The sequence below is a fragment of the Homo sapiens genome, chromosome 5, assembly GCF_000001405.40.
Source record: "Homo sapiens chromosome 5, GRCh38.p14 Primary Assembly".
Taxonomy (NCBI): Eukaryota; Metazoa; Chordata; class Mammalia; order Primates; family Hominidae; genus Homo; species Homo sapiens.
In genome coordinates, this window is record NC_000005.10 from 149,775,889 (window position 1) to 149,801,840 (window position 25,952).

Consider the following 25,952-nt stretch of genomic DNA (forward strand, 5'->3'; position numbering starts at 1 on the left):
AAGAAAGTAAATCAGATTGGATAGAAATAAGTCCTTCCATTTTCCTCTCCCTGACCTAACAAATTCTTATGACATAACCAAGCTGTCCAAAGCCAGTATTGCCCCCTAGTGGTTAGCATCAAGAATACATAGACTGCCCAACCCTCTTCCCCTCCACCTCCTTCTCTGCCATACCAAGATACCACCTCTTTTCCTCTGTCATTGTTACTAACTTTCTCTTCATACAAGTATGTTTCTTTTTGAACCCCTGTACATTCTATTCTAACTCTAATAGGTGTCATAGAAAAGGCAGCAGAGTGTAGGTGATGAAAGAACATTGGACTGGGAGTAGTAGGGGCTGAACCATAGCCTCACTTCTGTTGCTAGCTTGCAATGAGACCATGGGCAAATTCCTTTCCCTCTCTGGGCCTTGGTTTTCCTATCTGCACTACAAAAATTCTGCCTTATGCAGCGTTTCCCAAAAGAGGTTCCAAAGGTTTTTTTTATTTATTTATTTTTATTTTTTCAACTTCCAGCAGCACCCCAAAGCTTTTTAGGCTGGACAGTTTTGCATTGTGTAGGACTGCCCCAGGCACTCAGGACAGTTTGCATCCCAGATCTCCAAGTCAAATCATTGTGGTAGGTGGAACACCCACATGCTCCCTGGCAGTAATACTGCTGTGGTTGGCATTCGTTGAACTAGGGGATCTTGAGAGCATGTGTAGGTGGTTGCTGGTTTGATGAGAGTTGGGTGGGTCGTTGGTGTCAGCTGCAGCTAGGATGCAATGAAGACATCTGGGGCCCTGGGAATGACCCACCCAGAGGCCACCATTGTAGTGTAACGGAGGCACTGTGGCCTCAGCAGTTAGCCCCACATTCACATCCCCTCTCTGCCACTTGCTAGCTCTGGGGCTTCAGACAAGTTTGAGCAGGATTGTGTATGTGGTTCTCAGTTGACAATGGAAATGGCCCCGTAACCTTTTCCTGTTGGCAGCGGACAGGGAGAGGCTCTCCTGGCTTCCTGCACTCTGCACACACATGTGTGTACACACCCTTGCTCTTGCCCAGTTCCTGGTCCCGAGTCCTTCCCCACCCTCAGCCCAGCTCTTCCATTATTGTTAATGATCATGTCCTTGTGGGGAGCCCTTTCAGTTTGCAAGAAGGAGGTTATTCCCATTGTGCAGGTGCTGGGCCTGAGCCTCAGAAGGTAGTGTGGTTTCCCTTAAGCAGCAAGGCGAGGCTAGAATTCAGTCTGAATCTGTTCTTCTTCTTGTTTTTGCTGAGGCAGTTTTGTGGCTTTTTTCATCTACGATTTATCAAAAGCACTTAGTATATGCCCTGGCTTTAGAGTCATTTTCTCAATTTTCCCAAACACACATAGACCGACAAAGACCCCTGCTCACCACACATGCTCTGCCCACTTTACAGATGTGGAAACTTTAGAGGGAAGTCCAGAAACACATGCCACGGTTGCTGAGCTCTCTGTCTGCAGAACCTGTTCCCTTCCTCCCCCCACCACCCAAACTCTCCTACCTCCTTCCAAAAGCCACCACCCCCTGGGCCATTGGCAGCCCCTGCCCGGTTGTGAGGCCTGGCCTGAGTGGTGCTGACAATCAGGAGTGGGAGGGGGCCTGCCTGGCTCTGAGCTCAGGAGTGTGTTGGGAAATTCCGCCACCCTCCCACGCAGGCAGGGAAGAGTTAAGTGGCTGCCTTGTCCCTCATGGGTCCCAGAGGCCTCTTCACTCCTTTTACAGACTGGGTCTCCTAAGGAAACTGCCGGGCAGCCGGCCCCTCCCCCAGCATCCTCACATCTTGCCTTCTTTGGTCCTCTCTCCCCATGAGAACCACACCACCCAGGGCCTCTAGCTTCCCAAGATGGGGACACTTGGAAGTAGAGATTTAAAAACTGTCTTTGTAACACACACACACACACACACACACACACACACACACACACACAGTATCCGGCTGCTTGTATCCATGTAGCAGTGCCCCCCTCCCCCCCCACCACAGACACACACACAGAGTACCCGGCTGCTCATATCCATGTAGCATCACACACACACACACACACACACACACACACACACACACACAGTATCCGGCTGCTTGTATCCATGTAGCAGTGCCCCCCTTCCCCCCCCCACAGACACACACACAGAGTACCCGGCTGCTTATATCCATGTAGCAGCATCTCACACACACACACACACACACACACACACACACACACACACACACACAGAGTACCCAGCTGCTCACATTCCATGGAGCAGCAACACACACACACACACACAGAGTACCTGGCTGCTCGTATCCATGGAGCAGCATCAGCTGGGTCTCAGCAGGTGCTTTGTCTTGGAGGGGATGACAGAAGGGAGGCAGCCCCTGACCCAAGAGTGGTGAGGAGGCCTGGGTTCCTGGCAAGGCTTTAGTCTGTCTGTCTCTTACCCGCCAGTCTGCAACTCCGTGATGGGAGAAGAGGTCTGTGAGCTTCCCTGACTTAGCCTAGCCCTCCAGTGGCCAGAGAGACTCCAGAGGCAGGGAGAGGAGGCTCCAAGCAGAAGCGGGGCTCTTGGGCTCCCTGGGTTGGGGACCTTCAGGACTGTCTCATGGAGAGTACCTGCATCCCTGCCATCCCACCAGGTAGTGGCCACACAGTCCTCATGACCTCCCACAGCTGCTTGCGGCTGCCATTGGGCAGCTCTGATGGTCACAAGGGCTTCCTTAGAATAAATGAGCTGCAGTCTCAGCTCCCACCATAGCCTGGGCTTGGCGTCGTGGGCCCTCATAGAGCAAGGCTCACCCCTCCTGCAAGTCACAGCCCTTCACGCCCCTTCCTGCCCAAGCTCCCCTACCAGCACCCCAGGCCACAGGATCTGTCACTGCTTGGCTGTGGCTGGGTGACCACAGATAAAACCTGGCACTCATGGCCTCAGTTTCATTGTTTGAAAAAAGGAAAGTTTTATGGAGTGTGTGTAGTCATAAAACCATCCTCTTTTTTCCAGGATTCCAGAAAAAGAGATTATCCAGAAAGTTTTAGAAATATCTCACAGGGGAGATGACCCATGCCTAGCATCTGTGTTTGAGAGGGAGTTTCGTCACAGACCAGTGTCTAGGGAGCCCTAGAAAGCTGTTACTCCCAATAAGGCCTAGTTTTTGAATGTCACAAAAACTAGACTCCTCAGAAGGAGGAGACTCCTTGAGACAAAGTCCAGACTCCTCGGGACACCAAAGGCCCATCGTGATCTGACCCCAGCCAGACTCTGAATCTGAGTGCAGCCCATGGAAAGGAGTCCTGAATTTTGAGTCTGGTCTCTGCTACAGCCTGGCTGCACTGTCTCAGATTGCCAGGCCTCTCTGGCTTTGTCTTCCCACTGATAAGATGGGGATGAGGCTTGTTAGAGTTCAGTGGGGTGAGTGCATACACCATGCCTGGCACGATCTCAGTGCTGCTCAGTAACAAATACAATGGGCACTTTGCGTCTGGGGGAGGGGCTGCCTCTTCTGCCCTCAAGGCCAAGTTTTGAAACCCCCATCTTCACAAAGTGTTGCTGGACCACTTCAGGCACCACTGCAACATCCATGCCTTCAGGAGGTTTTTATTGAACATCTACTGTATAGCACACACTAAGGATACAACAGTGAAAAGACCAGCAGGCCACTGCATCCCTGGAGCTCTCTAGAGAGAGAGAAACAAGGAGACAAATCAGATAAAAAGCAACATGCTCTGGGAAGTCCAGGGAGGGAGGAAATAATGGGAGTCAGCTGGAGGGGGCAACAGGGAAGCCTGTTCCAGGAGTGACTTTTGAGACTACCTGGCAAAAAAGAGAATTTGAAAAGGTCTGGAGGGGTTCCAAGAGGAGGCCACAGGTGTGCTGGGGAGGAAGATGTGAGAGGCCTCCGGAGGTGGCAAGGTTAGGGCATGCCTGTGCCTTCCCACGACACTGTGTGCTGGGGTTGCCCAGGATGTATCCGGGATGCAGGGAGAGGCTTAGTGCTCCATGATTGAGAAAGGAGTAGATGGAGCCCCTTCCCAGCCCCTTCCCCTGGCCTTGGTCTGCACAAGATCTCTCCTGTTTGCTGGTGTCATTTTCATTTCCTAATACCCTCTGGCTGGCAGCAAGTGATTGACTGTGTCCTCAGCCCAAGATGCTGAAAGGAGGTCTGAGTGAAAGGGCTTTCCACCTAGGGGAGTGTAAGGAGAGAAAGCTGGGATGAATTCCTAGGCCCACAGGTACAAAGCCTGTTTCTGCTGCAGGGTCTGGGAGCTGGGAGACAGACGGGAGCAGAGCCGTGTGTGATTGGAGCATCGAAAACCCACACACCCAGAGCACAGGCTCCAGCGCAGGATGAGCAGCCAGAGCCCCGTGTGACCACCTGGCCCCAGGCCTGGCCGGTTCAGATTCTCATCCTTACTGGTCACCAGCTCTCAGTGTGTGACCCACGTTGGCTCTCCTGACCTTGAATTGGGTGCAGGATTTCAAATCAAGCCTTAACTAATGTTTAGTGGGCACAGTCCCAGTCTGGGAGGAAGATGTCCAGCTCTCCACTGTCTCAGCATTGAACCTGAGACAGGGTCCCTCTCCCTCTCCAGGCCTCGGATTCCCCATGTGTACAGTGAGAGGTTTGAACTAAAGGTCTCTAAGGCCCTTGTTGATTTGATGATCTGTTATTCCTGTTGTTCTAGTTTTGCAGGTCCTTGGCAGTGGAGGGGTAGTTGTGTGTCAGCGGTTAGATAATGTGAAGCATAGTTAATCTCAAAAAGTTATTGATAATTTTAAACATTAGGCACATTAATAGAAAGCTGGGGCCTAGAACTAGAGAGGAGATGGTTCTGTCACCAAAGTAGCCAAACAGATATGCTCTCAGAGAAAACAGAATCAAAAGCAGGATGACTGTAAAGCAGGTGTTCTTCCACATGGGTGGAGGCAGTAGAGGTGTGCAGCTCAGAGGAAACAGGCCACCTGCAAACATTGGCACGGGAGAGGCGTGGCACTGGTAAGTGGAGGTCAGAAGGGGAAGTTCTGGCTCGAGCTAAGAAGGGGCTTTCCGGCAGGGCGCGGTGGCTCATGCCTGTAATCCCAGCACTTTGGGAGGCCAAGGCGGGGGAATCGCCTGAGGTCAGGAGTTTGAGACCAGCCTGGCCAACATGGTGAAACCCCCATCTCTACTAAAAATACAGAAATTAGCCAGGCATGGTAGTGGGCACCTGTCATCCCAGCTACTTGGGAGGCTGAGGCAGAAGAATCACTTGAACCCGGGAGGTGGAGGTTGCAGTGAGCCGAGATTGTGCCACTGCACTCCAGCCTGAGTGACAGAGCGAGACTTCATCTCAAAAAAAAAAAAAAAAGAAGCAGCTTTCTGAATGAAAGATGGCATGAGCTGGCCTGCCTTGGGCAGTAGGGAGCTTCCTGTCATGGGAGATATGAGAGGGCAGGTGCATGGTCACCTGACAGGTTGGCTGTCCTTTGTCCTGCCGTTCTGCATAGCTGCCATTCTGTGACCTGGGATCAGGTCCAGGCTTGCCAAATGACTTTGGGTCAGTCACTTAGCCTCCCCATGCCTCAGTTTCCTCCTGTGAAAAGGAGAGAGAATTCCTGTCTGCCTCTCAGTCTTCTTGTCCAGATCAGTTGAGGTGCTGGCTATGGAGTCCTTTGTGTGAACACCACTGAAGCACGCAAGGGATGTTTCTTGTTTTTCCCTCTAAGTTGTCTGCTTGCCATCATGCTGCCGTTTGAGTGGCCAGCAAGGTGGGGGAAACTCTTACAGCTCAAGCTGACCTGATCTGCTGAGCTAAATTTCTGCTTTACGGAATTTAGTCTTGGGAGCAACAGAATGATGGGGGTAAATTCTAAAGCAGGAAAACAAAACTTGGCACTAGTGCTGAGGGATGTCCTGGCCAAGGCAGACATCGCTAATCAATCACCACACTCTTTCCTGCTGATCTTGGATATATGGTCTCATAACCTTTACCCATACAATGACAGCTACTAATAACCCTGACAGGACTTGGCCTGTGAGGTAAACTCTATTTGCCATTCCTTAGTAAAGAAAAACAATCATTAATGCCATTCCTGGTCAGTACCAAGCAAGTGACTCAGTAAATGCATTAAGGGGAATATGTGCATTGGTGGGAAGTGGGGGTTGGGACAGCTGTGAGCTAAATTAATTTAGATGGGGATGGCTTCTTGGTGGAGGTCGTAGTGGGCTAAGCCCAAGAAGAAGAGAGGGGAGATTAAGAGAAGAAAAGGGAAGTAAGAAGGGCACACTGAGCCATTAGCCTGGCATAAGCAAAGGCTCGAGTTGTGGGCTGGGAGAAGGCTCCTGATCAGCTTGGGGTTGGGTGGCCCTGGCTTGGGAGTCGGATCCCTGTCACTCATTTACTGTGTGACCTTGGGTGTGGCCATTCCTCTTGTATAAGATATAAAGAAACTCTTAAAAATTTTTTTTCTTCAAAGATGAATATCTGCAACATACACATATACAACCTTCCTTCTCCCCAAGCAGTGGGTTCCTAATGAATGCCTTGTTGGTGGCAGCATATTAAAGTGAGATCCAAATGACTCAGAAATCTGGGGGCTGGAAGCAGTAGCTACACCAGGATTGTTATCGGGGAAGAAGGAAGGATGTGGGCCGAGTGGGCCTGGACGGCTGACAGATCCCCAGATTTCTAGAGAATGGAGTATTTTCCCTGAGGTCAGCAGAAGGTTTGGGCCCAGAGCAGCTGAGCTGGATATCTGGGCCTCTGTACCATTTCAAGGAGCCCTTTTATTTTCAGCCAAGAGGGAGGGGAGGCTGGGTAGGGGCAGGGGTTGCTGAAGGGTTCTCATCTATTAATAGCTGGGATTTGGGGTCACGAGGCCCCGGGTGCTGGGATGGCCTGATGCCTGGCCTTGCCAGCCAATCACAGGGCCGCTGCTCTAGGGTCCTGCACATTAGCAGGTTCCCTATTGTGAACCCACAGGGCTGGCCTGGGCTCTGGCCAGATGTTCAACATTCCCTCCTGACCCCCAGTGGGCCTCTGAGGGGCTGCCAAGTGTCCACTGGGACAGAGGTAGGGAGCAGGAAGGAAGAAGGGAAAAAAGGGCTTGTGTGAATGCAGCCAGTGGGTCCAAGCTTGCAAAGTAGATAGGAATGCAGGGTGCTTATGGTAGAGGTTCCTGAAGTGGGCAGTGGAACTCCTGGGTCCTGGTATTGATGTCACACTGGAATGAGAGATAAAGAGAGAGAGAGAGAGAGATTGTTGGCCCACTCAGGCCTTCTTCACCCCTGGGCCACATTTGTTCCCCTCCTGCCATACTCAACACCCCAGAGGCCAATTAGTTAATTTCCTCTAAGATGTGCAGCCATCAATGGAATGATAGAACTCCATTTGCCATTTTGCCCTGTTGGGAGCTCAGAATGGGCTGCACAGTTTTTCATAAAGAGAGTAGCATATCAGAGTAAAGGGGATCAAGTGACCTTAATGATGACTACATAGGACCTGAGAGACAATTTATGGACTGAAGTCATGACCTTGGGGGATTCTTTTGACCTTTTTGGGTCCTTAGTTCCTCATCTGTGAAATGGAGAAAACACCAGCCTCACAGGGATGTTTTGAGTACCAGATAAGCGAGTGTGTGAAAGACAGAGTCCACACCGTCCAGTCAGATGGGGGAGACCCCAGGCCAGTGCCCAGGAGATTATAATCCAAGGAGAAGGAATGGAGAGAAACTCAGTGTGGTAGGAGAGCCCCAGGCTGGGAGGAAGATACCTGGATTCTGGTTCAGCTCTCTGCTGTCTCACCACCGCACTTGAGACAGGGTCCCTCTCCCTCTCCGGGTTTCAAATTCCCCCTCTTTACATTGAGAGGTTCAAGATGAGTGTCGCTAAGGCCCTTATTGATTTGATGGTCTGTTATTCCTGTTGTTCTTGTTTTGCAGATCCTGGGCAGAGGAGAGGTAGTTGTGTGTGAGGCATTATATAAACAGGAGCATGGCAATAACCATCTTTATACCCCTTTATACCCCTTTATAACCACGTTTATACCCATGGCAGTAACCATGTTTATACCCTTCACCCGTCTCTGCACACACATGTGTGCAGGCATGCGTGTACATACATGCCTGCCCCAGCCTAGGCAAGATGGGCATGGGAGACCCCCTGACTTGCCTGCCTGTGGCTGACCGCACTGTTCCCCTGCTTGTAGGCACCTCACACTCAGTGTGTTCAAAGTGGAGGTCTTTATTGCATCACCCCAACCCCAGCCCTATTTCCCTTCTTTCTTCTACTTGGGTTGCTATAGTCCTCAGTCAGGGAGCCCACCCTAATTTATCCTTCTTCCTTGCTGCACATAGCTGGGAGTCACTGAGTCTTGCCAGTCCTACCCTTGAATATAGATCACAAATAGGTCCAATCCCTCCTTCCCTTCATTTTACTTCCTCCCACTCAGAGGCCACGCTCTCACAACGGCCTGTGAAGCAGCCACCTCATGGGGCTTCCTGCTGCCATGTTTGGCTGCATCTCTGTATGTCAGCCAGAGTGCAAATCTATCATGTCACTGTTGTGTAGGAAGCCCCCCAGTGGCCCCCTGGTCTTGGGGCAGAGGCCACCCTTACCATGGCCTAGAAGTCTTTTCGGGATCTGGCCCTGCATACCTCACCCTCGTCCCTCCCAGGTGTCCTGAGCCTCACTCCAGCCAACTGAGTTTCTTTTTTTTTTTTTTTTTTTTTTTCTGAGGTGGAGTCTCGCTCTGTCGCCCAGGCTGGAGTGCAGTGGCGCAATCTCGGCTCACTGCAAGATCCACCTCCTGGGTTCACACCGTTCTCCCACCTCAGCCTCCCGAGTAGCTGGGACTACAGGCGCCCGCCACCACGCCCGGCTAATTTTTTGTATTTTTAGTAGAGACGGGGTTTCACCGTGTTAGCCAGGATGGTCTCGATCTCCTGACCTTGTCATCCGCCTGCCTTGGCCTCCCAAAGTGCTGGGATTACAGGCGTGAGCCACCGCGCCCGGTCCAGCCAACTGAGTTTCTCTCAGTTCCTTCTTGGGTCCTAATCTCCTGGGCACTGGCCTGAGGTCTCCCCCATCTGACTGGATGGTAGGGACTCTCTTTATCACTGCTGTCTCTCCAGCACAAGATAGGTGCCTGGTGCAGGTTAGCAGTTCAGGAAAGAGGAATCTGTTTATATACTCTCTCAGGGTGACCTTGACCCTTAATTACAAGGGGTTCTCTATACTAACAGAGTTCGGGAGATCTGGAGAGAACCCTCACCCAGGGTGACAGAAACCCTGGATCCCAGGCAGGCCTCTTCCCATGTGGCCAGCCCCTCCTGGGCCTCAGTCTCCAGTCCACACAACAAGAGATTGGACCAGATGCCCTCTTTTAAGGGCCCTTCTGGTTGTAAAGGTGGGATAGGAAAGAGGCTAGCAGCATGGCCTTTGCAGCCAGGCAGACCCAGGTTAGAATCTTGCTTTTGTCTCTCATTGGCCGGGTGATCTTGGGCCTCTGTGAACCTTGGTTTTTGTCATCTGTAAAGAGGGATGCTTCTTGCAGAACTGGGAGAATCAAATGAGAGAGCCTAGTGCCTGACACTTAGCAAGCACACAATAAAAGGCACCACCCTCCTTTCCAGTTTACAATCTGTTGGTGGAACTTGGCAGTTTGAACGTCTCATAAATCTTTATCATTAAGATTCTTTTTTCCCCTTTACCTTTTGGTGCCAGGTAATTATAGAGAGCCTGCTGTGCGCTTGGCCTTGGCCTCTACTCTGCCTCTCCTGAGAGCCCAGTCCCCGTTCTTCATGCACAAAGACAAAGACCCTCTGTTTTGGTTCCTGACGGTGCCACCCAAGTGGTTCAGGTGTGTCTGGAGCCTGCTGTAGGTTAGCGTTGTGACTGTCAGAGGCTGGTGGCACTCCAACCTAGGTTGACACTAAATGAGGCCAGAGAATAGAATGGTTTGCTGAGCCTCCCCAACAACTATGAGGTAAGCTGCCCAAGGGTCCAGGACAAGGCTTGGCTCAGAGTGAAGGCAAGCTGAGGGCTGAACCCCTGACACTCATTCTTTTTTTTTTTTTTTTCTTTTTTTGAGACAGGGTCTCACTCTGTTGCCCAGGCTAGAGTACAGTGGTGTGATTGCTCACTGTAGCCTCGACCTCCCGGGCTCAAGGGATATTCCTGCCTCTGCCCCCATCCCCAGTAGCTGGGATTACAGGCATGTGCTACAATGCCAGGCAGATTTTTGTTTTGTTTTGTTTTTGAGATGGAGTCTTGCTCTGTTGCCCAGGCTGGAGTCCAGTGGCTCGATCTCCGCTCACTGCAACCTTCTCCTCCTGGGTTCAAGCAATTCTCCTGCCTCAGCCTCCTGAGTAGCTGGGATTACAGGTGTGCATCATCACCCCCAGCTAATTTTTGTATATTTTTTAGTAGAGACAGTGTTTCATCACGTTGGCCAGGCTGGTCTTGAACTCCTGACCTCAGGTGATCTGCCTCCTTTGGCCTCCCAAAGTGCTGGGATTACAGGCATGAGCCACCGCACCCAGCCAGATTTTTGTATTTTTTATAGAGACAGAGTTTTGTTTTGCCATGTTGCCCAGGCTGGTCTCAAACTTCTAAGCTCAAGTGAGCCTCCTGTCTCGGCCTCCCGAAGTGCTGGGATTACAGGCATGAGCCACTGTGCCCAGCCTCGTGACACTTATTTTTGATGGGAAGATTCCCCAGGGGCAGGAGCCAAGATCCAGAGGCAGGCGTGTGTGCAGATACCTTCCCAGAAACTCTTGTCACAGGGTGGGCTGTCTAACCCCCACTGGACATGAGCTGCTGATGGAGAAACTGAAAGTTGAGAAGATCAAGGGGAGGAATATCTTTGGTAGTAGAAAAGACAGACTTCAGAGGGTTCGAGTGGAGATCAGCAAACAGCAGGAAATGTGGGTAAAATGAGTAAGTGAATTAATAATAGTCTTCTCCTTCCAACAGAAGTAGAATCCTCTCCCAGGCCTCAGAAGTAGAATATTAATGCACTTGGTGCCTGCTGCATTTCTTTCCTCTAGCATCAGAATGTGAGCGTTTGACTCTTAGGGCTGTTTTGGCTGTGTTACAGAAAGCCGATTCAAAGTCACCCCCGCAAAAAGAAGTTGATTGGTTCCCTTAACTGAAAATGTGGGGTTCAGGTTTAGTTAGATCCAGGAGCTCCATCTCTCAACTCTGCTTTCCTCTGTGAGAGCTCCATTTCCACACAGGCTCTTTCCAGCCAATGGGAGAAACGGCCTCAGGGTTTCCCATGGATCAGCTTAGCAACCACAGCAAGAGAGCATTTCTTTTCCAGTAGCATCAGCCAGTATCCTAAGGCAAACTCTTATTGTCTGGATTGGGGGCACATATTCAGTCCTGAGCCAATCATGATGGCTGGAAAAGATGGCCCTCTGGTTGCCCAGGACTAGGTCATGGGCCCACCCCTGGGCAAGAGTGTGTATGTGAGCTTAGCTTCACTGACCCACGAGAGCTGGGCCAGGAGGCATTGCTGTCTGGAAAGATGATGGAAAGGATAAAAACCCCTTGTGCCCACTGAACCTCTCCACTTTTATATTAAACACCAAATTGGCTCCAGGTTGGGATTTTAAAATGTGATTAGTAACAAATTACCTACCATACCTTTTGCCGGTGTCTATTGTCACACAGAGGTGACCTGCTGATGTAAAATTAGCTGAGAACATCTGCTGATACAATTTGGTAGTCACAAAAGTAAGGTTGTGGGGCCAGCTCTTAAGCAGTGTGTCTGCTGAGCAGTTTCTTGGATGTAGGGAAAGATGGGTGCTGCTGTGATCACATTCTATCTGCAGGGACACTATAATCTACCAGTGAGATCTGCAGGGAGGTTGACACATGTAGGGACATGGACTGGGCTATGAGCACCCTGTCGGCCAATCATAACTAAATGTAGAAATAACTCAAGTTTGGATAGAAGATTTTGTCTGTACAATGGAAGGGTTAGGTTTGGTCACCTACCATCTGCAATCAATTGGTAATGACTGTCAAAACTGGATCCCTTCCTTACACCTTATACAAAAATTAATTCAAGATGGATTAAAGACTTAAATGTTAGACCTAAAAGCATAAAAATCCTAGAAGAAAACCTAGGCAATACCATTCAGGACATAGGCATGGGCAAGGACTTCATGACTAAAACACCAAAAGCAATGGCAACAAAAGCCAAAATTGACAAATGGAATCTAATTGAACTAAAGAGCTTCTGCACAGCAAAAGAAACTACCATCAGAGTGAACAGGCAACCTACAGAATGGGAGAAAATTTTTACAATCTACCCATCTGACAAAGGGCTAATATCCAGCATCTACAAAGAACTTAAATAAATTTACAATAAAAAATCAAACAACCCCATCAACAAGTGGGCGAAGTATATGAACAGACACTTCTCAAAAGAAGACATTTATGCAGCCAAAAGACACATGAAAAAATGCTCATCATAACTGGCCATCAGAGAAATGCAAATCAAAACCAGAATGAGATACTGTCTCACACCAGTTAGAATGGCGATCATTAAAAAGTCAGGAAACAACAGGTGCTGGAGAGGATGTGGAGAAATAGGAACACTTTTACACTGTTGGTGGGACTGTAAACTAGTTTAACCGTTGTGGAAGACAGTGTGGCGATTCCTTAAGGATCTAGAACTAGAAATAACATTTGACCCAGCCATCCCATTACTGGATATATGCCCAAAGGATTATAAATCATGCTGCTATAAAGACACATGCACATGTATGTTTATTGCGGCACTATTCACAATAGCATAGACTTGGAACCAACCCACATGTCCGTCAATAATAGACTGGATTAAGAAAATGTGGCACATATACACCATGGAATACTATGCAGCCATAAAAAAGGATGAGTTCATGTCCTTTGTAGGGACATGGATGAAGCTGGAAACCATCATTCTGAGCAAACTATCGCAAGGACAGAAAACCAAACACTGCATGTTCTCACTCATAGGTGGGAATTGAACAATGAGAACACTTGGACACAGGGTGGGGAACATCACACCCTGGGGCCTGTTGTGGGGTGGGAGGAGTGGGGAGGGATAACATTAGGAGATACACCTAATGTAGATGACGAGTTAATGGGGGGTGCAGCACACCAACATGGCACATGTATACATATGTAACAAACCTGCATGTTGTGCACATGTACCCTAGAAAGAACTTAAGTATAATAATTAAAAAATTCTGGGTTGGATAGTCCAAAGTTGTGCTCCGGCTTAGCAGGAAAGAGGCCTGTGATCGCCTAGTAATGTCTGCCATGGGCAGATATTAGGACATTGAAAGCAGTAGTGTGTTTGTCAGTGTAGTAGCCATTCCTTTACTTTTTTCAGCTCTCTTACTTTAGACATGAATCAACTGAACAAATGAGGGCAACCTTAGGGCTCAAAAGAAAGACAAATGCAAGATGGGGGCTTGCCTGGGAAGTGATCTGAAAATGCAGACTTATGTACACAGGTTGTGTCCTTGCGGAAGTCATTTTCCTTGCTGAAGCTCACTTTCCTCATCTGCAAAGTAGGACAAATGATCCAGTACTGTGAACCAAGCAGAGTTCCTAGGAGGATCAGATGAAATAATAAATGTGAAATCATTTTGTCATACTTACAATAGCAGAAGCCATTAAATGACACTTTTTGTGTGTTAGGCACTGTTCTGAGTGCTTTGTTTATATCCTCATTTAATCCTCAAAACAATTCTATGAAGTAGTTCCTATTGTTATCCTCATCTTACAGAAAACGACACTTGAACACAAATGTCAAGTCACACGCCCAAGATCACACAGCTGCAGTAGTGCAGGCAGCCTGGCTCTGGTCTCACTGTTACGAATCCCTTCTTGATGGTACTTCTCACTGTAGACTGTAAAGTGCCATGCACCTGAAAGGGATTCCCTGAAGCTGCACTTCTAGATCCTTTCTTGTTCAGGAACTGCCTTATTAACCCAGTCCCTCATGAAAATGGAGGTGAAATTGGCCTGCTGTGGTCTGTATGTCAGTCTTTCAGGGCTTGATGACACTTTTCCAAGACCTTGTGGGAGGTAAGGAAGGAGAAGCAATGTAGACCTAAGGATCTGTCCTTGATTTCCAGTCAAACTGCCTGGGTTTGTTTCCCGCCTCTACCACTTCTAGCTGGGTGACCTTGGGCAAGTTGCCTAACCTCTCTGAACCTTAGTTTCCTTGTCTATAAATAGAGATGATAATCCTGCCTACTGTGTAGGATTATTGTGGGGAATAAGTGGGATAACTTAAGGGATATGCTTGGTAATGTACTAAATACTCAGTATGAGGGAGTGGTGGTGGTGATGATAGTGCAGAGGTCAAAAGGACCAGAATGATAGGCACAGGCTGCCCTTCCCAGGACCAGAATCTTTTGGCAGCATCATTTATGATGATGCCCTGGTCAGTTCTGAGCACATTCTCCCCTCCTAGCTGTGTGGAAGCCTGGTGGCTTCCCCTACAGAACATCAGGCTCACTTAATCTCCCTGGGGTGTGCCTCCGCTCTCACCCCTGCACACCCTCCCTGTGCAGACAGGTCTGCAGTCATCGGCTTGAGCTGCTCTCCCTGTCCAGACTGCTGTAGCCCCAAACCAGCCCAATCCAGAGTGAGCTGGTCAGTAGCCTGCACTTCCTGGAGGCCTTTGAGGCTTAAAATATTATAATACTAGGAGCACAATTGAGAGAGATTCTGATTCTAGGCTGAGGCATCTGGGAGTGTACAAGTGCCCTTGTTTGGGGACCTGATGAAATTAGCAAATAAATGAATGACAACACTCATTGATTATTTGCTTTCCTGTCACTCAGTGCATTTCCTTCTGTTGGGTGGGTCCCAGTGACTCCAGCTGTGAGATGGGACCGGGCAATCCACTCTGGAGTGTGTGAAACATGCAGATTCCTGGGCCTCAGGAATCTGGACAGTGGACAGTAATGGTTACTTTGTTACTTGGGAGCTTGGTTAAAATGTAGGTTCCTGGGTCCCTGCCAGAGATGGATTCAGGATCTCTGGGGTAGGGCCCAGGACCCTGCATTTTCACAAGCTTCCCTGGGAGATTCTGCAGCAGGTGGTAAGAGAACCAAACTGGGTCTCTTCTTAAGAGTATTCTTTGGACCAGGTGTGGTGGTTCACTCCTGTAATCCCAGCACTTTGGGAGGCCAAGGCGGGCGGATCACTTGAGGTCAGGAGTTCAAGACCAGCCTGGCCAACATCATGAAACCCTGTCTCTACTAAAAATATAAAAATTTTTACAGGTGCATGCCTGTAATCCCAGCTACTCAGGAGGCTGAGACACGAGAATTGTCTGGGGCGGGGGGCGGGGTGGGGGCAGAGGTTACAGTGAGCTGAGATCCCACTACTACATTCCAGCCTGGGTGACAGAGAGAGACTCCATCTCAAAAAAAAAAAAAAATTTCTATTAAAAAAACTGATTCTATTAGGTTTCTCCTTGTCTTCCCTCTGTAAGAAACCTCACTCCCAACTCTTGGGGCAGCCAAGAGACCGTGCAAGACTGAGTGCTCATTGGATGAATGAGCACCCAGAGCTCCTGCTTGAGTTTCTAGAGATAAGTCTCTGCTTCTTCATGAGCTCCCCATCCCTGCAGGTGTGCAAGGAGCTCCAGAGCATACCCACTCCAGATTGGGGCTGGGGGATCCAACCTATGGGAAGAGTGTGTGTGATGTTGTGATCTTATGGTCTGGAGAGGCTGGTCTTTCATAGCAAATGTCAATTTCTGCAGAATGGGTAGTACAGAATATTGGTGCTGAGAGGGAATTTTTTTGCTGTAGGACTCCTTGTCTTCCCTCTGCAAATAGTCTTGCACAAAAGCTCCTTGAGTAAAGGAGACAGTCAGTCGAGCTGCTCTGATTGGCCTGGTGTCCAGCAGTACCCTTCCCTACCTTTAACAACTTCTGACAGATTAAGATAATGAGGGCAGTATCTCAGTGCCTTGCAGTTTTCCGTTTAAATATAAAAGGATTTGTCTATAAAAGTTTCATTTATTCAACAAACACTGGATGAATGAGCACTTGCTGGGCCTAGGGAACCCCAGGATACAAGTTCTAAGTCCTTGGCCTTGGGTTCCCTATGGGGAAATGATGCTGAGCCATGGGAGGGGTGTCAGTGGGACAAAGGGTGTCCCCCAGGCAAGGCTTGAAAGGGCAGGGTGTTGAAGAGAACAGAGTGGCCTGGGAGGGAAGGTGGGGAGCGGGTGGAGTGGTGGAAAGGGGAACACGGTGTTCAGAGGTGCTGAGATGGGACTGGTCAGGATGTTTGGAATCAAGGGTGGGAAGAGCAGGACATGAGGCTGTAAAATGGGAATTGGCAAACAGAGCTTGCATCGATAGTCCCTCGGGAGCCAGCAGGGCTCCTCCAGTGTCCCAGGGGAGACTTCGGAATTTTCTAGTCAGCATGGAGCATGGCAGAAATTTTCCTCCTTGGGGCCTCTGAGATGTGGGGTGCTACTCCCTCATTCTTCACAGCAGCTCCCCAGAGGCAAGAAGGGCCATAGAAAGGCCAAGACCTTTTCCAAGAGTGAATCATCTCCACTTTTGGGAGTGGTGGGACAGGGTTGGGGATGAGAGGATTGGAATGGAATTGGAGCTCAGATTCTTGATTTCATTTAAGGAATGTGATTTTAGAGATGTCGGCACTAGGACGCTGGGATTCTAATTCTGGCCGGCGGCACTACTTTTGCTTCTCTTTTAAATCTTTTTGTGCCTGAGTTTTCCCATCTGCAAAGTGGGATCATATTCATTTCTACCTTGAGGATTATTTTGACGCTTAAAGAATGTGCTGATGAAGGATAAGAGCCTGAATAGGATGCAGCCTTGTTCCGTAGTTGTATTCATTCATTCATTCATTCATTCATTCATTCAGTCAGTCTGCATGCTTGGGTGCTTAAGACCCCTTTGCAGTTTGCACTGCTGGCCTCGGTATAAATCCCCACAAAGAGGAAATGACTGACTTCATTTTGACATTCTTCCTTGTATGGAAAAAATGCAACTTCTACCCACTGGAGTCTCGTGTCTGTCCTGGGGATCCCACAAAAGAAGTTTGTGCCACTTCTGCTTGAAGACCTTCAGAGATGTGTGGATTAAATGATAGTAGCCACAGCCTTGTGGCCACATACCCTCAGCTGCTTCATCCAGGCGGAGGAGAGGTGGGCCTGGTTTCTGGGTGAGGTAGAGAGTGTGTTCTCCATCATCTGGGCCTCCCTGTGGTTCCCTGCCTTCCCCACCCTGGGGTGGCTGGTCTGGTGGACTTTCCCTCACACAGTCTGTGGGGGCAGCTGCTGTTGCTTGCTCCTTCCTTTTTGCCTTCCTGAGAAGTGGGTGGAGGCCATGGGGCAGCTCTTCTTGGTCAAAGGAGTGATTTCTGCTTACTGGGAGGAGCACCTGACTCATAGGAGATGTTCTCCTGCAGGAAGGGAGAGGTGATTCTATCATCAAGTCCCAGGAGAAAAACAGAAGGAAGTTGGTTCCCCAGAGCATCCTCTGTCTTCTGGAAAATCCCAGTGTGCTGTTTAAAAGAAGGCCCTTATACTGCCTCCCTTGGCACTCATGCAGCAAATGTTTGTGGGGAGGTGCATCACACCCCAGTTTCCCCATGCCTTCAGACACATCTCCAGCAGCCTCTGCCTTCTGGAATCCAGTGCAGAACCCTGAGGCAGCCAAAACCATCATCATAAAGATCAGGCACTGTTGTACCCCAAACCATTCTCCTTCAGACCCCAGTGCCACTTGTCTCAGGTACAGCCTTACGCTTGGAAAGCTGTCTGACCAGTCCACTGCCGATCAGAAACAGGACCCAAGCAGAGGGGAATGGAACTTCTTGAAGACAGCAGACTTGTAGGAGGAAGATGTGTAAGCTGAGACCCTAAAAACCAACGAGGAGAAAACAGAGGGAGAGACGCTCAGACGGACCAGCCTGGCAGAGACAAGCAGCTCTGAAGATCCCAGTTCTCTGGGTGCAGCACTGTGTCGGGGCAAAGGACCCCAGGGATGTGTGTGTTACTATTATTCCAGGGTCAGCAAGCTACGTATGGTCCTGTGCGCCAAATCCAATCAGCTGCCGGTTTTTGTAAAGTTTTATTGGAACCTAGCCATGCCCGTTTATTTATGTGTTGTCTGTGGCTGCTTTTGCACCACAGAGTTGAGAAGTCATAGCAGAAATCTATCTTATGGCTCGAAAGTCTAAAATATTTACTAGTTGGCTCTTTACAGAAGAAGTTGCCAACTCCCAATGATTTGAGCTATCAAGAAAGGGTTAAAATTCAGCTTCTGTTAGAGAAAGACTGGGAGGTGTGAATCTCTTGGGGAAGGCCTTCCAAGCAGACCAGCTGATGATGTTGTCACCCCATGTGTTGGTGCTTTTAATGAATGGTAAGATTTCAGATTGTCTGGATTTCATAAAATTAGCAAGTGTTAAGGCCAAGACAAATGTTAGACAGTGTCTAATTTAACTCTTGAATATCCACATGAGAGGAAACTGAGGCCCATGTAGGCAAGGGGGCTGGCTTGGGAGCCTATGGCAGCAGAGCTCACTCTCAGAGAACCCAGGCCAAAGCACTTTGTTCTGATTTGCTGTTGATTGCACACACACATGCATACGCTCATGTATGTGAGCGTGCACACACACACACACACACACACACACACATTCAAGCAAAATTCCCTAAGCAGTAAAATGGCAAAGATGTGTTTGCCTCTAAAGGGCAGTTGCTTATTTTGTCTTTTCTGTGCCTGTTGCCTTTGAGGCAGGAGAAGGGTGGGCAAGGATTCCTGCTTTGCCCTATATAAGGAGGCTGTTGTCCCAGCCAGGCCCATCCCCTGGCAACAGGACTAAAATGGTAACAGGGAGTTCTGTTTAAGGCCAGCTCTGCACAGCAGCTGCCTCTCAGCCCGCTGCTGATGAAGCGTTGTCTGCCCAACACCTGCCCTTCCTCCTGTAACCAGATTGGAATGCAGGCACCAGGGTCTTCCTAGCTCTCCACTGGGGTCTGCAGTCATGGGGTGGGTCCTGTGAGGGGGCCATTGCCCCACTGATGTGTGCCCTTAGTGCCACCCTGCCTTGGGTCCAAGGCCATGGGGACACACGAGACATCTTGACGTCAACGGGTCAGCTAGATTCTCCATAAGAGACTTCCCACTCTGGGCCTCAGTTTCCTTCCCTGTATAGTAGAATTAGAGCCAGCTGTGGCTAAGGCTCCCTTTCACTCTGCTGTTCTATAATTCTGGCACCTATGCCTCCCTTGCAGCAGCTCTGAAATGAAAAGGTTTTTGTTCTTATTCTAGCATAGAAATTACATGTCATAGCTTAGGGCGTCAGATTTCCTGAGTTCCAATCTCTGGACAACTACCTACTTAGTTGGGTGTCTCTAAGGGAAGTTAGCAAACCTCCCTGCGCCTCAAGTTTCCTCACCTGTAAAATGGAGATAAAAAGGGGACCTATCTCATGAGGTACCTGCAGCTATTGTAGTTAAAGCATAAGGTGGGGCATTGGACTAAGTGGCTGTCAAGGTCTTTTTCCACCTGGGGCTCTGTTGTTCTAAATCCCAGACGTCTAGTCTCAAGCTGGAGAATTACCTAAGAGAGGACATTTCACAGCTCTGGAAACCTGATCTGGAGATTAGAGGCCTGGAAAAGGCAACTGAGGAGAAAGGAGCAGTGGGGAGTTTCCAGGGCACCAAATGCAAATCTGAGTACAGGTGTGGATGCCATGTCTCTGCCAGCCAGCTCCTCAGGGCAGAGGACGCAGGAGGGCGGCAGCTTCTGAGCGGGATGAGGTCACAGCATCTTGAGGCCTGGGATACTGTCACCTCAGCCCCATTCATCTGCAGTTTTTTGCAGAACCATCCTTCCCATGTCTGCTGTTTGGGGATGATGGTGGGGGCAGGGGGGGATGATTATCTTTTTTTTTCACAGTATAACAGTGATTAAGTACCCTGTTTTGGAGTCAGACTTCCCTTAACCCAGCTGGGGAACCTCATTAGGCCTCCTCAGTTTCCTCCTCTGTAAATTGGGAATAATACCAGTCATGAGGATTGAGTGACATGATGCATGTCAAGAGCTCAGCCCATTTTCCCACATAAGAGAAGGCTCACTAAAATCTGAAGAGTGCCTACTGTGTGCCGAGGTGCAGCAGGAAGCATGGAGAGGCTTCCGTTCTGGTGGGGGTCGACCAGTAACACACATCTGGACAGAACTAACAAGGCCATTTCAGACAGTGATGTAGATCATGAAGAAAATAAGACACAGCCATGCGATGGAGAGTGTGACGGAGTAGGGAGGGTGGTGGCCACTTCAGAGTGAGCAGTCGGTGGAGTAGGGGGGGCCTGTTGGAGGAGGTGACATTTGATCTAAACATCAGAAAGTAACCAGCCATGCAAAAATGGCTTGTGGATAGACACTGGGGCAGTGACCAGCTATTGAGCTCCAATGTAAAGGATGTCAGGATGGCTGTGGCATGGTCAGTGAGGCAGAAAGTGGCAGAAGAGGATGCTGGCAGGGTAGGCAAGGGCCTTATAAGCCACAGGTGTTTGGATTTCATTCTGAGTGCAATAGGAGCGTCTTTGGAGAATTTTGAGCAGTGGGTGGGTAACATAGTCCTGATTTACATCTTTTAAAGATAATTTTGGCTACTGTGGGAGAGACCAACTTGGGGTGGGGTGAGCAAGTGTGGGAGTGGGAGGCCAGCTGGGCATCTGCTGGAAGTCTAGTAAGAGATGATTGTATGCACCAGTATGGTGGCAGCAGAGAGAGAGAGATGAGAATGGTATTTTGGAGAGAGTGCAGACAAGACTGGCTGATGGATGGCATGTGAGGGCGAGGGAAGAGAGGAATACTTAAATTTTGCTCCTCAGCAGCTGGGTGAAGGGTTTGCCATTTACTGACCTAGGAGAGACTGAAGGAGAAACTGGTTTGGGTGGAAATAGAATTCCATTTGGATCTAAGGAGGAGATGCTGATAAACCACTCAGGTGGAGATATCAAGGAGGAAGGATTTGAAAGGGCTCCTTTGCAGGCATAGCCGAGGACAGAGTTAATGCATGGAAGGACACGGTTTGTTTTGCTCCGAGACAGCCTGTGTGCATTTCTAACTGCAGCTTATCCCTCTTCCAGCCCTAAGCTTCTGGATTAGCTTGAAGGGCCTCCCTCCCTCGCCCAACAGCTTGGAGTGACCCACATCCCTCCTTGAACCCTGGACGGGCTCAAGGCTGCCCAAAATGCTCCTCTGCAGGACTCCTATTGGCGCATAGGTGGAGCTTCCAGCCCTGGTGTGTCTGGGATCAGAGCCTGGGATAACCTAGACCAGCCAGCCTTAAAGAACATTGACAGTGTGCCAGGCACTGTGTTACAATGCTTTAAACCTCACGTTTAAGGGGTCTGTGAACTTGGATGGAAAAAAATTACATCTTTGTTTTCATGAATCTCTAGCTGAAATTTAGCATTTCCTTTATGAATGTAGGGGACAAAAAAAAGTATTAGTGGTAACGGTGACTTTGTTGTCAATGGAAATCACAGATATTTGTATATCACAGTTGTTCAAGATATCTACAAATATTTAGGCTCATTGCTATTTCCAAATTATAAGTAATTATTAGGCATGCCACTAGCTCTTGTTATTTGTTAATAAGGAAACACTACCATAACAGATTCTTTTTTTATTATTTTGTAAATATATTTTGATAGTATTGGTTTTCTTTATAATTCTACATTTCATTTGGTGCATTTAAAAATGTTTCGGCTGGGCGCGGTGGCTCACACCTGTAATCCCAACACCTTGGGAGGCCGAGGCGGGTGAATCACTTGAGGTGAGGAGTTCGAGACCAGCCTGGCCAACATGGTGAAACCTTGTCTCTACTAAAAATATAAAAATTAGCTGGGTGTGGTGGCGTGTGCCTGTAATCCCAGCTATTAGGGAGGCTGAGGCAGGAGAATTGCTTGAATCTGGGAGGCAGAGGTTGCAGTGAGCCGAGATTGCACCATTGCACCCAGCCTGGGCGACAGAGCAAAACTCCATCCCCACCCCCCGCCAAAAAACAATTCATTTATTTTTTTATTTTATGCATTCATAAATGTTGTGAGAAGTTTATAGGCTTCATCAGATCTCAGAGGGACCCATGGCTCAAAAAAGGTTAAGGACCCTTACTTTACAAGTATGATCTTATCATTCCCATTTTACAGATAAAAGAGCTAAGGCCCAGAGAGGTTGAGTGTCTTGGCCAGGGCCACACAGCTGGTTAAGGGACCAAGCCCAAATTAATGCACATCTTTCTCATTCCAAAGTCAGCGTTCAGAACAGTCCACCATTGCCTCCAAAGTAGCCCCATCAGCTAAACCTACAACTGATTTGAATAGAGTCCGCACCACAAAAAAATCATATTTTGTCTGAAAAAATTAATCCAGCATTTGCATTTCTAGTCTCTAACACGCCCTTGTTTTTTTGTTTTGTTTAGTTCTGTTTTTATAATACAAGAATGTTCCCCTTTCCAGTTAAATGACTTGACTTTATTATGGCAAATCTTGGGGGTAAAATGGAGTTCTGAAAAGAGGCACCATGCCTCCTGTGTATGCCTCTGAGTATGTCTTGCCACTCCAGGTATGTGATCAGAGATAGAGAAGCATGGCCTCAGCTTAGTTGATTCCCGTGCTGCCTGTGAGCAGCCAGTCCACTGAGCAAACGAGAAGGCTGAGGCCTAGGGCCATGGGGTGGCCTGATTATAATCACATAGCTCCAGCCAATGGAGTTCTAGTTCACGTTCTTCCCCTGTTGCAACCTTGGTATGGCTCAGATGACCAGCAGACTTTGGTCCAATTCCGACTACCCCTAACTTAGCTGAGTGATTTTGAGCACATTGCTTACCATCCCTGGGACTCAGTTTCCTCATCTGTAGAGTGGACTGGACAGTCTGTCTACCTGCCTTTATGTGGTTGTTGGACAGTATAAACAAGATGTCCATAATGTGCTTGGCACAAAAGAGAGGCTCAGCAAAGGGCAGTGATTCTTATGGGCCAAATATTACCAAGCTCTCAGAGGTCCCTAGCCCCCAAGCAGGGGCTGGGTGCTGAGGAAGGCAGAGACCTCCTTGCTGCCTGAGAGGTGAGATAGGACATTTGCTAAGCTCCCACCAAGAGCCAAGTGTGACCTGGTGGTCCAAACTCAGCCACAGTGGAGACCTCACTAGATGGACTGTGAAGGGTGGAGAATGGGGGACAGATTCCTCACCTCTCATCCCTGTCTGTCTGTCCCTTCCTCAGAATCCCAGAACAAGAAGTGGTGGCTTTATTTCACACACCTCTATATTTAATAAGCAGGACCATGACGAGGTTTGGTGACCTCAGGGCCCAAATGGACTGTCTGCTGGCATAAGTGGTGCTTGAGTCATTTCCCAGGGATGAGCACTGGGCAGGCTTCCAGGAGCTGAATTTACCCTCTGATTCTCTGCTCTCCTCTTCTCCTCCCCACCCCTAAGCTCCATTTTAGAGTTTCCAGCTTCTTTGGCTTCAGGAGGCATGGACCAAGATAGAAAGTAAAATAGTTATTCATTCACCAGGGCTCTCATGCCCTTCCCTGAGCAAAGGCTTAGGCTCGATTGAAGGGAGACCCTGGAAGCCCGAGACACTGAACCAGGCCCTGAGGCTCCTGCTGATATGTATGTGCACTGGGGACACAGGCTCAGTGACCTAAATGCCCAGAGAGAGACTGGAGGAAGGAGAAGCTGGGGCATTCAGGGCAGGCTCCATCAGGGAGGTGGCATATGAATGGGCTTTTTTGTTTGTTTGTTTGCTTGTTGTTGTTTTTTTTTTTTTTTTTTTTTGAGACGAAGTCTTGCTCTTGTCACCCAGGCTGGAGTGCAGTGGCACAATCTCAGCTCACTGCAACCTCCGCCTCCCGGGTTCAAGTGATTATCCTGCCTCAGCCTCCTGAATAGCTGGGACTACAGGTGTACGCCACCACACCTGGCTAATTTTTGCATTTTTTAAAATAGAGATGGTTTTGCCATGTTGGCCAGGTTGGTCTCGAACTCCTGACCTCAGGTAATTCACCCATCTCGGCCTCCCAAAGTGCTGGGATTACAGGTGTGAGCCATTGCGCTTGGCTGGAATTGGGTTTTGAGGAATGAGTTGCAGCATGTATATGATAAAAATAAAAACCTTCAAAGAGTAAAGAAGGACATAAAATAGAAAGTAAATATTCTCTGACCTCTCCCATGCCTAACCAACTCCTTATTCCTATTTCCTCCAACTCCTACTATTCTTGTGTGTCCTTCTTGCAATAATCTATGGATATATGAAGTGTACCTATCTATGCATCATAAAAAAAGTGTAAACAGGATCATGTAACGTTAACATCCCCTTCCACCTAACAGCCCATCTTGGCAGTCTTCCCATAGCAGTGCACGAGGGGAGGGATGGCTTTTGACCAGTGGTGCGAAAACATTGGTGGTCATTGCAGGTCGCTAGAAAGATATCACCAAGAACTCAGAGATGAGAAAAACTACAGTGCGTATGGGGAGCTTTGATAGGAGTGAGGCAGGCAGTATTGCCAAGCAATTACGAGCCTGGTCTTTGGATTTGGAAGATCTGGGGTTGAATCCCAGTTTCAGCACTCTCTAGCTGTGTGACCCTGGGCAAATTTCTTCACTTCAATTTCCCCATGTCTTAAATGGCTAACAATACCTCCCTTTGGGACTGTTAGGCACTTTTGGTGAGAGCACTTACAACTCACAGAGGCACCTGGTAAACAGCCTCCGCTGTTTTTGCTGCTGTTGTCATGTGACAGATGGGGCAGGGGGAGCTGAGTCCCAACAGGTGGGGCCAGGTGCATGTTGGGTGTTTCAGGAGTGACATTTGGAGAGAAGAGGGCCAACCGATTGATCTGAAGCTCAAAATAGCCTGGAAGTGCAAGAACAACAATAAATAAATGGGTTCTGGATGCTTTTAAATCTTGGCATTTCCTGATCTCAGCTCAGCTGGTCCAGACAGCTTCATCAGCATTTACTGCTGAGGCGGCGGCACACGCCTCCCTTGGCCATGACCCAAAGCTGCTTTCAAGAAAATCAGATCTAGAAACGTTTGGATCTCTGGTGCCAGGCCTATGGGTCATGGACATATGGCGTGGATCAGGTAGTGTCAGGGTTTGTCCCATGTGTATGGGGAATGAAGACCTAGGGGATGAGGAGAGAGAGAGCAGGACCTTGTAGGACGAGTGGGTGATATGGGCACAAGGGAATGGCCAGGCTCCTAATCCCCTCTCCAAGTGTTTATTGAGCACTTACTATGTGCCAGGTGCCAGGGATACAGTAGTGAGCATTAATAAAATACTCATGCATATAAATGTTTAATAATAAATGCTTAATTTCCCAGTGTGCTCAGCTCCAGAAGCCTCTGTACCTTCAGAAGGCCATGAGAGCGTGCAGAAAGGCTCCTTATATGATCTGCAAGCTCAAAAAAAAGTTTCCTCCAGGAAGTAGAGTGAAGGATGAATAGGAGATAAGTAGGCAAAGCCTTTATGTGTGGGAAGCGTGTTCCGGGAGAGGGAACAGCATGCGCAGAGGCTATGTCAGGGGACAGATCCTGTCAAGTGCCAGGGGTGGAAAGAAGCCAGCAGGACTCAGAGTGGCAGTAGGGAGTGGGTGCTGGTGTGAAATGATGTGGGACAGGGAGGCAGGAGACACACCGTGCAGGACCTTACAGGCCACAGAAAGAGTTTCAGTCTTTACCTGGGAGGAATCAGAGGGAGCCAGTGGGGTCAGGTCTGTGTCTTGAGAAGATAGCTGTGGCTGCTCTGTGTCTAGCCGCCTGGTGGGGGCTGGAGTAGAGGCAGGAGGCTATGGCTGCCATTGACGTGTGAGTTGGTGGTGTGAACTGGGTCTGTCTCAGAGCATGAAGGGTTAACTCAGTGACTGGGTGTGAGGAAGCTACAGGAAGGCCCAGCAACCCA

General features: G+C 48.9%; 1 protein-coding gene across 6 annotated transcripts in view, besides 3 other annotated features; it reads left to right on the plus strand.

The window, feature by feature from the left end:
• Positions 1–25,952, plus strand: part of PPARGC1B (PPARG coactivator 1 beta) — a 127,650-nt gene that overhangs the window by 45,579 nt on the left and 56,119 nt on the right. The window lies entirely within an intron of this gene.
• Positions 1,566–1,745: an enhancer, noted in NCBI's record as "active region_23387". NCBI's record gives its function as "activates an Ori minimal core promoter by ATAC-STARR-seq in GM12878 lymphoblastoid cells {active_cell/tissue: GM12878}" and the evidence as "EXISTENCE:reporter gene assay evidence [ECO:0000049][PMID:35858748]".
• Positions 4,757–4,836: an enhancer, noted in NCBI's record as "active region_23388". NCBI's record gives its function as "activates an Ori minimal core promoter by ATAC-STARR-seq in GM12878 lymphoblastoid cells {active_cell/tissue: GM12878}" and the evidence as "EXISTENCE:reporter gene assay evidence [ECO:0000049][PMID:35858748]".
• Positions 17,029–17,178: an enhancer, noted in NCBI's record as "active region_23389". NCBI's record gives its function as "activates an Ori minimal core promoter by ATAC-STARR-seq in GM12878 lymphoblastoid cells {active_cell/tissue: GM12878}" and the evidence as "EXISTENCE:reporter gene assay evidence [ECO:0000049][PMID:35858748]".